Here is a 12,039-nt window from a genome sequence, read left to right as displayed (position 1 = left end):
TACAACAGATTATGAGAGTGGGTAATAATATCTGGAATAATTGTTTTTTTGTTTTGTGGTTTTTTTTTTTTTTTTTTTGAGATGGAGTCTGGCTGTAGCCCAGGCTGGAGTGCAGTGGTACAGTCTCGGCTCACTGCACCTCTGCCTCTTGGATTCAAGCGATTCTCCCGCCTCAGCCTCCCGAGTAGCTGGGATTACAGGTGCCCACCACCACACCTGGCTAATTTTTTATTTTTAGTAGAGACAGCGTTTCACCATGTTGGCCAGGTTGGTCTGGAACTCCTGACCTCAGGTGATCCGCCTGCCTCAGCCTCCCAAAGTGCTGGGATTACAGGCATGAGCCACCATGCCTGGCCTGGAATAATTGTTAATAATTATTACATTGATGGCATTTTATTGCTGAGCAAGAAGAATCTAACATGATGAATGGGTTATAGCATCAGGTTTGCTTTGTTTTTTTGTTTTTTTCCTCTTTCTTGATGGTGATTTCTGTGTTTGTGTGTATGCGTCGGCTTCAGAGCCATTCTTTATCATTCTTCCTTTTCCTAGGGCATATGCGGCCAGCAAAGAATCACATGCCACTTTGGTGTTTCATAATCTCCTGGGAGAGATTGACCAGCAGTATAGCCGCTTCCTGCAAGAGTCGAATGTTCTCTATCAGCACAATCTACGAAGAATCAAGCAGTTTCTTCAGGTATGATGAGAAACTGAGGACAAGGAGAAACAGGACCCGCAGAGTCGGGTGTTAGTGTTCTTTCCTGGAAGCATCTCTTTTCTCATTTGGCTAAGTAACGAGAATCTATCTTGTATTTTCAATCACAGGAGAAGTAATTAGCCCTTTCTCAAAGCTCTGTATACTTACCCGTGAGCATCATTACCTGAGAATCACTTCTCTTGTCACAGTTGAAGTAATAAAGTGATTGTTATGTTAATCATACATGTTAGCATGTTAACGCGGTCCACTGATAGGAAGATGACTCTCACTGTTACATGTTAAATGTTTGACCATAATGGGATACTTCTTGACTAAGTCAGTAGCTTCCCTGCAAGACCAGGATAGTATACTGTGTAAAGACTCAGACAAGGCCAGGCATGGTGGCTCACGCCTGTAATCCCAACACCTTAGGAGGTTGAGGTGGGAGGATTGCTTGAGCCTGGGAGTTTTGAGACCAGCTTGGGCAACATAACAAGACACCATCTCTACAGAAATTTTTTTTAAAAACTAGCTGATTGTGGTGGCATGCACCTGTAGTCCCAGCTACTCAGAAGGCTGAGGTGAGAAAATTGTTTGAGCCTGGGAGGTCGAAGCTGCAATAAGCCGTGATTGCGCCACTGCACTCCAGCCTGGCGGACAGAGTGAGAGCCAGTCTCAAAAAAAAAAAAAAAAGACTCAGGCTAATGTGCCTTCTGTTACAGAAATAGTAACGACCTCCCCTTCGCCCCCCGCCGACAGAGAGCCTTCACCCAGGCTCTGAAGCCTTTGTTCCGTTGTTTCCTAGAATAAATGCTTTCCTTGATGAATACATTAGTTTTAAGGTGCCACAGTTCAGTCCACATCTCCATGGTCTGCTGCTGATTTTTATTCTCTTTCTCTCCTACTTATAGAGCAGGTATCTTGAGAAGCCAATGGAGATTGCCCGGATTGTGGCCCGGTGCCTGTGGGAAGAATCACGCCTTCTACAGACTGCAGCCACTGCGGCCCAGGTGAGACCTGAGACAAAACAAATCCCTGGTCTGGGAGGAATGGAAAATCAAACAACTTTATAATGAGATAAATTATTAGATCTACTAAAAAAGAAGGAAAAGAAATTAAATAGATCAATAATCATAAAAATACATTGAAAAACTCTAAAAAAAAAGAAAGTTCCACCCCCCAAAATACATTGAAAAACTCTAAAAAAAAGAAAGTTCCACCAAAAGAATCCAACAGACCCAATGGTTTAAAAGTTTTGTTTTGTTCTGACAAATTTTCTTTGTTTTTCTTTTTTTTTTTTTCTGAGACAGAGTTTTGCTCTTGTTACCCAGGCTAGAGTGCAATGGCGCGATCTTGGCTCACTGCAACCTCCACCTCCAGGGTTCAAGTGATTCTCCTGCCTCAGCCTCAAGAGTAGCTGGGATTATAGGCGTGTGCCACCACACCCAGCTAATTTTGTATTTTTAGTAGAGACGGGGTTTCTTCATGTTGGTCAGGCTGGTCTCGAACTCCTGACCTCAGGTGATCCGCCCGCCTCAGCCTCCCACAGTGCTGGGATTACAGGCGTGAGCCACTGTGCCCGGCCTGTTCTGACAAACTTTCATAGTACAGATTATTCCAATATCATTCAAACTTTTCCAAAGTATAGGAAAACAAGGGATGTTTTCAGCTTATTTTATGAGGCTGGAAAAATCCTCATATCAAAACCTAAAAAACAGCCAGGTGTAGTAGCTCACGCCTGTAATCCCAGCACTTTGGGAGGCTGAGACGGGCAGATTGCCTGAGCCTCAGGAGTTCGAGACCAGCTGGGGCAATGTAGCGAGACCTCATCTCTCTTTTTTTTTTTTTTTGAGACAGAGTCTCTCTCTGTCGTCCAGGCTGGAGTGCAGTGGTGCCATCTTAGCTCACTGCAACCTCCGCCTCCCAGGTTCAAGCGATTCTCTTGCCTCAGCCTCCCGACTAGCTGGGACTACAGGTGTGTGCCACCAAGCCTGGCTAATTTTTTGTATTTTTTTTAGTAGAGATGGGGTTTCACCTTGTTAGGCAGGATGGTCTTGATCTCCTGACTTCATGATCCACCGGCCACAGCCTCCCAAAGTGCTGGGATTATAGGCATGAGCCACCACGCCCAGCCTTTTTTTTTTTTTTGAGACAGAGTCTTGCTCTGTTGCCAGGCTGGAGTGCAGTGGCGTGATCTCAGCTCACTGCAACTTCTGCCTCCCAGGTTCAAGCTATTCCCCTGCCTCAGCCTCCCAAGTAGCTGGGACTACAGGCGCGCGCCACCACACCCAGCTAATTTTTTGTGTTTTTAGTAGAGATGGGGTTTCACTGTGTTAGCCAGGATGGTCTCGATCTCTTGACCTCGTGATCCGCCCGCCTCGGCCTCCCAAAGTGCTGGGATTACAGGCGTGAGCAACCGCACCTGGCTTAATTAAGGATCTTTCTAAACACAAGAAAGAATATTTATCAGAAACCAAAGGGAGCATGATGCACAGTGGTGAAACACTATTCTCAGTAAAAACAGCAAAAGATAAGGATGTCTTTTACCATTGATACTTTTCTGAGGGATCCAGCCTATGCAAAAAGAAAAAGAAATGAGGGTACAAATATTGGAAAGCAAGGGACAGAACTCTTATTATTTACAGATAGATAGGTCTTCCTCGAAGATCCAAGAGAAACAAAACTAACAATAACAATTGGAACTAGCAAGGTTTAGAAAGGCCATTGTATACAAGATAAATATTTTTAGAATCTGCAGTTCCCCTAATCAGTAGCAGCAGTAACCTGTTAGAAGATGTAATGAAAGTAAAGATCTGGGCCAGGCACGATGTCTCACGCCTGTAATCCAAGCACTTTGGGAGGCCAAGGTGGGCAGATCATGAGGTCAAGAGATTGAGACCATCCTGGCCAACATGATGAAACCCCATCTCTACTAAAAATACAAAAATTAGCTGGGTGTGGTGGTACGCGCCTGTAGTCCCAGCTACTCGGGAAGCTGGGGCAGGAGAATCGCTTGAACCTGGGAGGCGGAGGTTGTAGTGAACCAAGATTGCGCCACTGCACTCCTGGGCGACAGAGCGAGACTCCGACTGAAAAAAAAAAAAAAAAAAAAAGAAAGATCTGATTCATAGTAGTAAAACTAAATGTATGCAATTTGCATATACTATTGGTATGTATGGGAAAATATCTGGAAACACATATACTAAATCATTAAAGTAGTCGGTCATAGGAGACTTTTTTACTTTCTGTGAGGGGTTTTACCGTCTTTAATATCCTATAATCAGGGACATTTTTTCTTTTTCTCCGTGACCCCCTGCTTTTTAAAAAATTGTGGTGAAATACACATAACATTACATTTCAAATTTACCTTTGTAACCTTTGTTTTTTTTTTTTTTTTTTGAGACAGTCTCACTCTGTCACCCAGGCTGGAGTGCAGTGGTGTGATCACAGCTCACTGCAGCCTCAACCACCTGGGCCCTAGCGATCCTCCTGCCTCAGCCTTATGAGTAGCTGGGACTACAGGCACATGCCACCATGCCCAGCTAATTTTTTTTTTTTTTTTTTTTGGTAGAGATGGGCTCTTGCCATGTTTCCCAGGCTGGTGTTGAACTCCTGGGCTCATCAACTGATGAGAAAGAGCTCTCCAGGCAGAAAGAAGATCATGTTCAAAGACAGAAACAGAAATGTGTATTCTTGGGAGAAGTGTAGAAAGTTCAGCATCTGATTGGGTCGGGGAAGACAAGCTAGTCAAGGCCACATGATGTTTTAATTAGTCATGCCTAACAGTGGGGCCCTGGAAGAGCAGTTTACCACAAGGGGCCAACTGCTTCGGTTTGAACCCGCAGCCCTGCCACTTGCTCTGTAACCTTAAGTAAACAATTTTTACTCTCTCTGTTCCTCCAATGGGAGTGATAACAATACCTTCTTCATAGAATTAATTCATACATGTAAAATGCTTAGAACAGTATCTGACACATAAATGCAAAATAATTTAACTGCTTTCTGCTGCTGCTGACATCACTATCATCACCCTCACCATTACTGTAGGAAATGGGGACCCAGTGAAGAATTTTTTTTTTTTCTTTTGAGACAGAGTCTCACTCTGTCACCCAGGCCGGAGTGCAGTGACGCGATTTCGGCCCACTGCAACCTCTGCCTCTCAGGTTCAAGCGATTCTCATGTCTCAGCTTCCCAAGTAGCTGGGATTACAGGCATGAGCCACCACACTGGGCTAATTTTTTGTATTTTTAGTGAGATAGGGTTTCACCATATTGGCCAGGCTGGTCTCAAACTCCTGACCTCAGGTGATCCATCCACCTCGGCCTCCCAAAGTGCTGGGATTACAGGCATAAGCCACTGTGTCCGGCCCTAGTGAGGAATTTTAAGCAGAAAACTGATATGCTCAGGTGTGAGCGAGGTGGTAGGTAACACTTACTGTGCAGTGCCCTGTAGCCCAAGAGGTTAGCACACAGGCATTTGCTCAGGCAGCACTAGGATTTTCTGCTGTGGAAAACCTTTGTATTTTATCCTGCTCCACAAGATAAAAATAAGTGGTTTAAGTCAATTTGGATAGAGGCTCCAACTTACCATGGGAGGTAGGAAAGCCAAAGTTATCCCAAGGATGTTTTCAATCGTACGGATTAGGGGTCTGCAAACTGTGAGCGTGGCCCAAATCCAGCCTGCTGCTTGTTTTTGTAAATGAGGTTTTTTCGGAACCCAGCCACACTCATTTATTTATGCATTATCTGTGGCTGCTTTGGTGCTGCAGTGGCAGGGCTATTTGTGGCAGGGACTGTATGACCCAGGAAACCAAAAATATTTACCCTCTGTCCCTTAGAGAAAAAGTTTGCAACCCCTGATATAAAGCTATAAGTTGGTTATTTGTGGCCTCAACCCAGGCCTCACTGCTATTTTTTCTGTTTACAATACCTGGCATGCTCTTAAGTGTCTAGAATTGGTTAAAGATAGAAGAGTGGATGTAATCCCTGCTACCAAGGGCTGTCAGGCTAGTTGGGATTATAAGTACACAAACACTCAAAGTGAGAAAAACACAGAAAAGGATGTGTGTCATTTTGTCTAAGGAAGTTGAATAAGATTTCTCAGGAAAAGAAACATTTGAACTGAATTTGAAGGTGAGTGAGTTCAGGTGTGTTTGGGCTGAAGCCCAGGCCATGCTGAGTGGATAGCGGGTGGGAAGAGAGTGTGGAAACACACTGCATGCAGGGAAGAGTTGGGAGTCTGGGGTGACCAAGGCACAGGGAGGGAAAGTTGAAGTTATCAATTGTGTGAAACAGCTTTCTGTGTTGGCCTGAGATGTTTATAGCTGGAAGCAGTGGGGAGCCAATACAGTTTTTTACGAAGGTATTAGAGGTGGGTTTCTGTGGGTGATCGTTAATCATGTTTTCTCCCTTTAAGTGTAGTCCTGCTTGAGAAATAGACATGAGAAAGGAATGAAGGTTAAAACATCAGCTGTATTGTTGGTAAAACTAGAATGGAAAGTGTGGCTTGAGCTGGTAACCATAGGGGCTTTCCAATGCCTGTGCCCTGAGTTAGATCTTGGGGTAGAGAGACTGGATGTGCAGAGCAGCACCCCCACCCCACCCCAGCCATCCATATGGAGCTTCAGCTGCCATAGACCAACAAGGCAGAGGGATAGGCCTCTAGACCTGCTTCTAGAAACCAGGCTGCTGCTCTTGCTTATGGTGGGCCCTAGGAAGGCAAGAGTGAGAGGAGGGAGGCACCAGCTTAGGTGCTGGGTTCTTTGAAGATCTGTGTGTACACAGAGTCTTTCTCTCCATCTTACCAATCAGATGAGTCACTGTCACTGTGGGAAGAAGTAGGGGCATGGGTCACCTTCCCAAAACTTCTAAGAAGTTTGTATTCTGTGGGCTTGGATAGGGACCATGGGAAAGGAAGAGAATGGTTGCCCATAAAACTGGCTGTAGTGTGGCCTCAAACTTCTGGACTTAAATGATCCTCCCACCTCAGCCTCCCAAGTAGCTAGAACTACAGGTATATGCCACCATGCCCAGCTAGTTAAAAAAAAATTTTTTTTTTTTTTTGGTTGAGATGAGGTCTCTTTCTATGTTCCCTGGGCCGGTCTCAAACTCCCAGCCTCAAGTGATCCTCCTGCCTTGGTTTCCCAAAGTGCTAGGATTATAGGTGGGAGCTACCATGCCTAGCCCAAGCCTGTAATTTTTTTTTTTTTTTTTTGAGATGGAGTTTCACTTTTGTTGCTCAGGCTGGAGTGCATGGCGCAGTCTTGGCTCACCACAACCTCCACCTCCCGGGTTCAGGCGATTCTCCTTCCTCAGCCTCCCGAGTAGCTGGGATTACAGGCATGCACCACCAAGCTCAGCTAACTTTGTATTTTTAGTAGAGATGGGTTTCTCCGTGTCGGTCAGGCTGGTCTCAAACTCCTGACCTCAGGTAATCTGCCCACCTTGGCCTCCCAAAGTGCTGGGATTACAGGCATCAGCCACCGCACCTGGCACGAACCTGTAATTTTTAAGTTTCATATGCTATTTATTTTTTGTTATTTCTTTAATTCATTCATTCATTTATTCATTCGAGATGGGGCCTCACTATGTTGACTAGGCTAGTTTTGAACTCCTGGCCTCAAGCAGTCCTCCCACTTCAGCCTTCCCAAGTGCTGATATTATAGGTGTGAGCTGCTACATCCAGCCTTCTTTCTTCTTTTTCTTTTTCCATGTGCTATTTGACATTTTCCAAGGTACCAGCCTCCCCTTCTCCCCAAGATAATATCTTTTAATATGGAATTTCATCCCTAGGGCAGGACTTTTTTTTTATTATCCCTCAGAAATATACTGGACACCACGTTTAAGTAGACATCCAACATCTGCTGTCATAAATTGTTTTGAATTTTTTGACATACTTGCCCATGAGGTTTTTGAAGGCATAGACCATGTCTTAGCTGAACATGTGGTCTCTTAGTGCCATAAAGGGGGTTTATGGTATGACCTGTGTAGTGTCACCTGTGTAGTGACAGCACCACTGCCTCTGTTTCCCTTCCTCTTGTGATGGCAGCAGCGTCTCAAGCCAAACAAGAAGGGTAGTTAGGGTGGGATGGAAGCTGGGTAGAGGTATTCCTCTCCCCATAGTTCTGTGTTCACATGTGCATTGACCTCCTTTTTGGCAGCAAGGGGGCCAGGCCAACCACCCCACAGCAGCCGTGGTGACGGAGAAGCAGCAGATGCTGGAGCAGCACCTTCAGGATGTCCGGAAGAGAGTGCAGGTGATGCAAGTTACAAGCCTCGGGCAGGGAGCTTTCATTAATTTTTTTTTTTTTTTTTGAGACAGGGTCTTGCTCTGCCACTCAGGCTGGGCTGCAGTGGCATGATCACAGCTCACTGCAGCCTCGACCTCTCAGGCCCAAGCGATCCTCCTACCTCATCCTCCCAAGTAGCCGGGACCACAGGCATGCACCACCACGCCCAGCTAATTAAAAAAAAAAAATTTGTAGAGATGGGGGTCTCCCTGTGTTGTCCAGGCTGATCATGAACTCCTGGGCTCAAGTGATCCTCCCAACTCAGCCTCTCAAAGTGCTGGCATTACAGGCGTGAGCCACTGCACCTGGCCAACAGGGAGCCTTCTCTTGGGGATACTGCCTGCAGGTCCTGCATGTATCTTTTTTGAGGTTTTGGCTTCATTTGAATTCTCCTCAGAAACTTTATATTTTCTGTTCCCAAGGAAATCTTTCTTTACTTCTGTTTTTTTGTTTGCTTATTTTAAACAGGATCTAGAACAGAAAATGAAAGTGGTAGAGAATCTCCAGGATGACTTTGATTTCAACTATAAAACCCTCAAGAGTCAAGGAGGCAAGTGAATATTAGAGATGTTAAAATCTCTAGAAAGTGAGTTTGTGTTGTTGAGTTGAAAGACTCATTTGTCTTAACTCTGTTTAGATCTTAAGGCGGGCGGGGCGCAAGGGAGGTACGGGTCCTCAAAGGAGCCTGGTCATTAAGGACAGGAGTATTCCCTCAGGTCCAGGAGTATTCCCTCAGGTCCAGGAGTATTCCCTCAGGTCAAGGAGTATTCCCTCAGGTCAAGGAGTATTCCCTCAGGTCCAGGAGTATTCCCTCAGGTCCAGGAGTATTCCCTCAGGTCCAGGAGTATTCCCTCAGGTCCAGGAGTATTCCCTCAGGTCCAGGAGTATTCCCTCAGGTCAAGGAGTATTCCCTCAGGTCCAGGAGTATTCCCTCAGGTCCAGGAGTATTCCCTCAGGTCCAGGAGTATTCCCTCAGGTCCAGGAGTATTCCCTCAGGTCCAGGAGTATTCCCTCAGGTCAAGGAGTATTCCCTCAGGTCCAGGAGTATTCCCTCAGGTCCAGGAGTATTCCCTCAGGTCCAGGAGTATTCCCTCAGGTCAAGGAGTATTCCCTCAGGTCCAGGAGTATTCCCTCAGGTCCAGGAGTATTCCCTCAGGTCCAGGAGTATTCCCTCAGGTCCAGGAGTATTCCCTCAGGTCCAGGAGTATTCCCTCAGGTCCAGGAGTATTCCCTCAGGTCCAGGAGTATTCCCTCAGGTCCAGGAGTATTCCCTCAGGTCAAGGAGTATTCCCTCAGGTCCAGGAGTATTCCCTCAGGTCCAGGAGTATTCCCTCAGGTCCAGGAGTATTCCCTCAGGTCAAGGAGTATTCCCTCAGGTCAAGGAGTATTCCCTCAGGTCAAGGAGTTTTTTCTTCCTTCGCAGACATGCAAGATCTGAATGGAAACAACCAGTCAGTGACCAGGCAGAAGATGCAGCAGCTGGAACAGATGCTCACTGCGCTGGACCAGATGCGGAGAGTAAGGGCATAGGTCGGACCACTTCCCCCATGTGTCTCGCTCACTTGCGGGATTTCAGCGTCTTGTGGCAGAACTTGCTTGGTTTCTAAGAAGTTCCTGCTCTGGAGTTGACTAAAGAATGTGGTTAGAGACAGTCTGAGGAAATGTTTTCTGACTTTGTTTTGGTTTCCAACCAGAGCATCGTGAGTGAGCTGGCGGGGCTTTTGTCAGCGATGGAGTACGTGCAGAAAACTCTCACGGACGAGGAGCTGGCTGACTGGAAGAGGCGGCAACAGATTGCCTGCATTGGAGGCCCGCCCAACATCTGCCTAGATCGGCTAGAAAACTGGTAAAGGATGAAAGAAGCTTTTCCTTTCTTTCTCGAAAGCTAGATTGAATTCTGATCTTAACTGCAGGCCCACAGAATTGGTACTATATCTCCAACGTGGGGACTTTTCCATATTCAAATTTAGCCCAAGAATTAAAGTTTTTACTTTATTTCGGCCAGGCGCTGTGGCTCACACCTGTAATCCCAGCACTTTGGGAGACCAAGATGGGCGGATCACTTGAGGTCAGGAGTTTGAGACCAGCCTGGCCAACATGGTGAAAACACATCTCTACTAAAAACATAAAAAAATTAGCCGGGCGTGGTGGTGCGCACCTGTAGTCCCAGCTACTCTGGGCGGCTGAGGCAGGAGAATCACTTGAACCTGGGATATGGAAGTTGCAGTGAGCGGAGATCTTACTACCGCACACCAACCAGCCTGGGAGACAGAGTGAGACTCCATCTCAAAAAAATAAAAATAAAATAAAGTTTTTACTTTATTTGGAGAAACTTTGTTTTAAAAAATGTATTTATATTATTATATTTTAAGTATATTTTACTTAATAATTCAATTAAGGCTTTTGGTTTAACTGTATTTAACAGATAGACAAACCTTTTAATTTTAGTTATTTTAGTAATCTAAAATGACACATGCCCTTTTTAAGGGAAAAAATTCAAATACAGAAAATTAATCAAGAGAAGAAAAAATTTTTAAATGAAATCATCAGCAGTACTAGTAGTTAAAATTTAGTTGATGCTCAATCTAGACATCTGTCATTATGTATATACACATTATGTATATACACATAAAGATAGAAATTTATACAGTTTATATTAGGATCATTTTTTTTTCTTTTTTTGGAGTCAGGGTCTCACTGTGTTACCCAGTCTAGAGTACAGTTATGCAGTCATGGCTCACTGGAGCCTTGACCTCCTGGGCTCAGGCAGTCTTCCCACCTTAGCCTTCTCAGTAGCTGGGACTACAGGCATGCACCACCACACCTGGCTAATTTTTAAATTTTTTATAGAGACAGGGTCTTACTTTGTTGCCTGGGCTGGTCTCAAATTCCTGGGCTCAAGGGATCATCCCACTTCGGCCTCTCAAAAGCTCTGGAATTATAGATGTGAGCTGCCGTGCCCAGCCCAGGATCTTCCTTTATATGCTTTTCTGTAATTTGCACTTTTACCTTCATCCAGCATATCTTACTGCAACCCTTCCTGTGCAAGGCCCTATAGTGAGCATGTTGCACCAGCTTGCCTTAGGAGAAACTTGAGATACAGAGCCTGCACTGGAAATTTAGCGCAACTCTACATGAGAATGCCTGTCTATTCATATCCTCACTAACCCTGAGTGTTGTTAATTTACTGAAAGCAGTTTTAAATGCTTCCTGACCAGGGAACGAAGAAGCTTAAGTTCTGGGAATGGGAGGATAGAAGTGCCAGAAAAGAGCTCAGGAGTTCAGAAATCCCTGCAGCGGTCCCCCTCCCTCTCCTTTCACTTTCTGTCTTTCTGGTCTTTTGGTCTTTGTTACACTAGTGATAAACCATCAAAGAATGATGGAATGATGCTAACTTCTCTCTTTTTTTAATTTTTTTGAGACAGAGTCTCACTCTGTCACCCAGGTTAGAGTGCAGTGGCATGATCTTGGCTTACTGCAACCTCCTCCTCCCAGGTTCAAGCGATTCTTAGTCACAACCTTCCAAGTAGCTGGGATTACAGGCCCATGCCACCATGCCTGGCTATTTTTTTGTATTTTAGTAGATCGACCTGCCTCGGCCTCTCAAATTTTTGGGATTACAGGTGTCAGCCACTGCACCTGGCCTAATATCTCTATTCTTGGAGATAGATTTAATGAGCTTTTTCTCCCTCTCTATTCACTTATTCCTTGTGCATGTTATCAATATTTTGAAACATAATGTCATGTCCTTTGATCAGTTGAAGGCTGACATTGAAAAGGCTTATGGGGATTGGGTGTTGTGGCTCACGCCTGTAAATCCCAATGCTTTGGGAGGCAGAGTCGGGAGGATCACTTGAACCCAGGAGTTTGAGACCAGCCTGGGCAACAAAGTGAGATCCCATCCCTACAAAAATTTAAAAAACTAGACATGTGCCATTACACTTCAGCCTGGGTGACAGAGTGAGACTCCATCTCAAAAAACTAAACTAAACTAAACAGGCATGGTGGCACACACCTATAGTTCTAGCTACTCAGGAAGCTGAGGTAGGAGGATCAC

General features: G+C 45.2%; 1 protein-coding gene across 24 annotated transcripts in view, besides 3 other annotated features; it reads left to right on the top strand.

Moving 5' to 3' along the window:
• STAT3 (signal transducer and activator of transcription 3) overlaps positions 1–12,039 on the top strand; it is a 75,119-nt gene that overhangs the window by 41,180 nt on the left and 21,900 nt on the right. For 21 of the 24 annotated variants that reach the window (NM_001384992.1, NM_001384984.1, NM_001369519.1 and 18 more), the window contains exons 3-8: positions 550–694; positions 1,606–1,704; positions 7,854–7,949; positions 8,451–8,532; positions 9,406–9,500; positions 9,677–9,828. In NM_001384992.1, coding sequence (NP_001371921.1) covers positions 550–694; positions 1,606–1,704; positions 7,854–7,949; positions 8,451–8,532; positions 9,406–9,500; positions 9,677–9,828 — 669 coding nt within the window. Of the gene's footprint in view, positions 1–549; positions 695–1,605; positions 1,705–7,853; positions 7,950–8,450; positions 8,533–9,405; positions 9,501–9,676; positions 9,829–12,039 lie in introns of those variants that run through there. The other 3 variants (NM_001384985.1, XM_047436586.1, NM_001384989.1) reach the window with 3 other exon arrangements.
• Positions 3,812–3,881: a silencer, noted in NCBI's record as "silent region_8526". NCBI's record gives its function as "represses an Ori minimal core promoter by ATAC-STARR-seq in GM12878 lymphoblastoid cells {active_cell/tissue: GM12878}" and the evidence as "EXISTENCE:reporter gene assay evidence [ECO:0000049][PMID:35858748]".
• Positions 9,410–9,459: a silencer, noted in NCBI's record as "silent region_8525". NCBI's record gives its function as "represses an Ori minimal core promoter by ATAC-STARR-seq in GM12878 lymphoblastoid cells {active_cell/tissue: GM12878}" and the evidence as "EXISTENCE:reporter gene assay evidence [ECO:0000049][PMID:35858748]".
• Positions 9,590–9,899: an enhancer, noted in NCBI's record as "active region_12197". NCBI's record gives its function as "activates an Ori minimal core promoter by ATAC-STARR-seq in GM12878 lymphoblastoid cells {active_cell/tissue: GM12878}" and the evidence as "EXISTENCE:reporter gene assay evidence [ECO:0000049][PMID:35858748]".

Source organism: Homo sapiens, chromosome 17 (genome assembly GCF_000001405.40).
Source record: "Homo sapiens chromosome 17, GRCh38.p14 Primary Assembly".
In the NCBI taxonomy this organism is placed as follows: domain Eukaryota; kingdom Metazoa; phylum Chordata; class Mammalia; order Primates; family Hominidae; genus Homo; species Homo sapiens.
The sequence above is the reverse complement of the archived record's forward strand: the minus strand, read 5'-3'. Positions and strand labels throughout refer to the sequence as shown.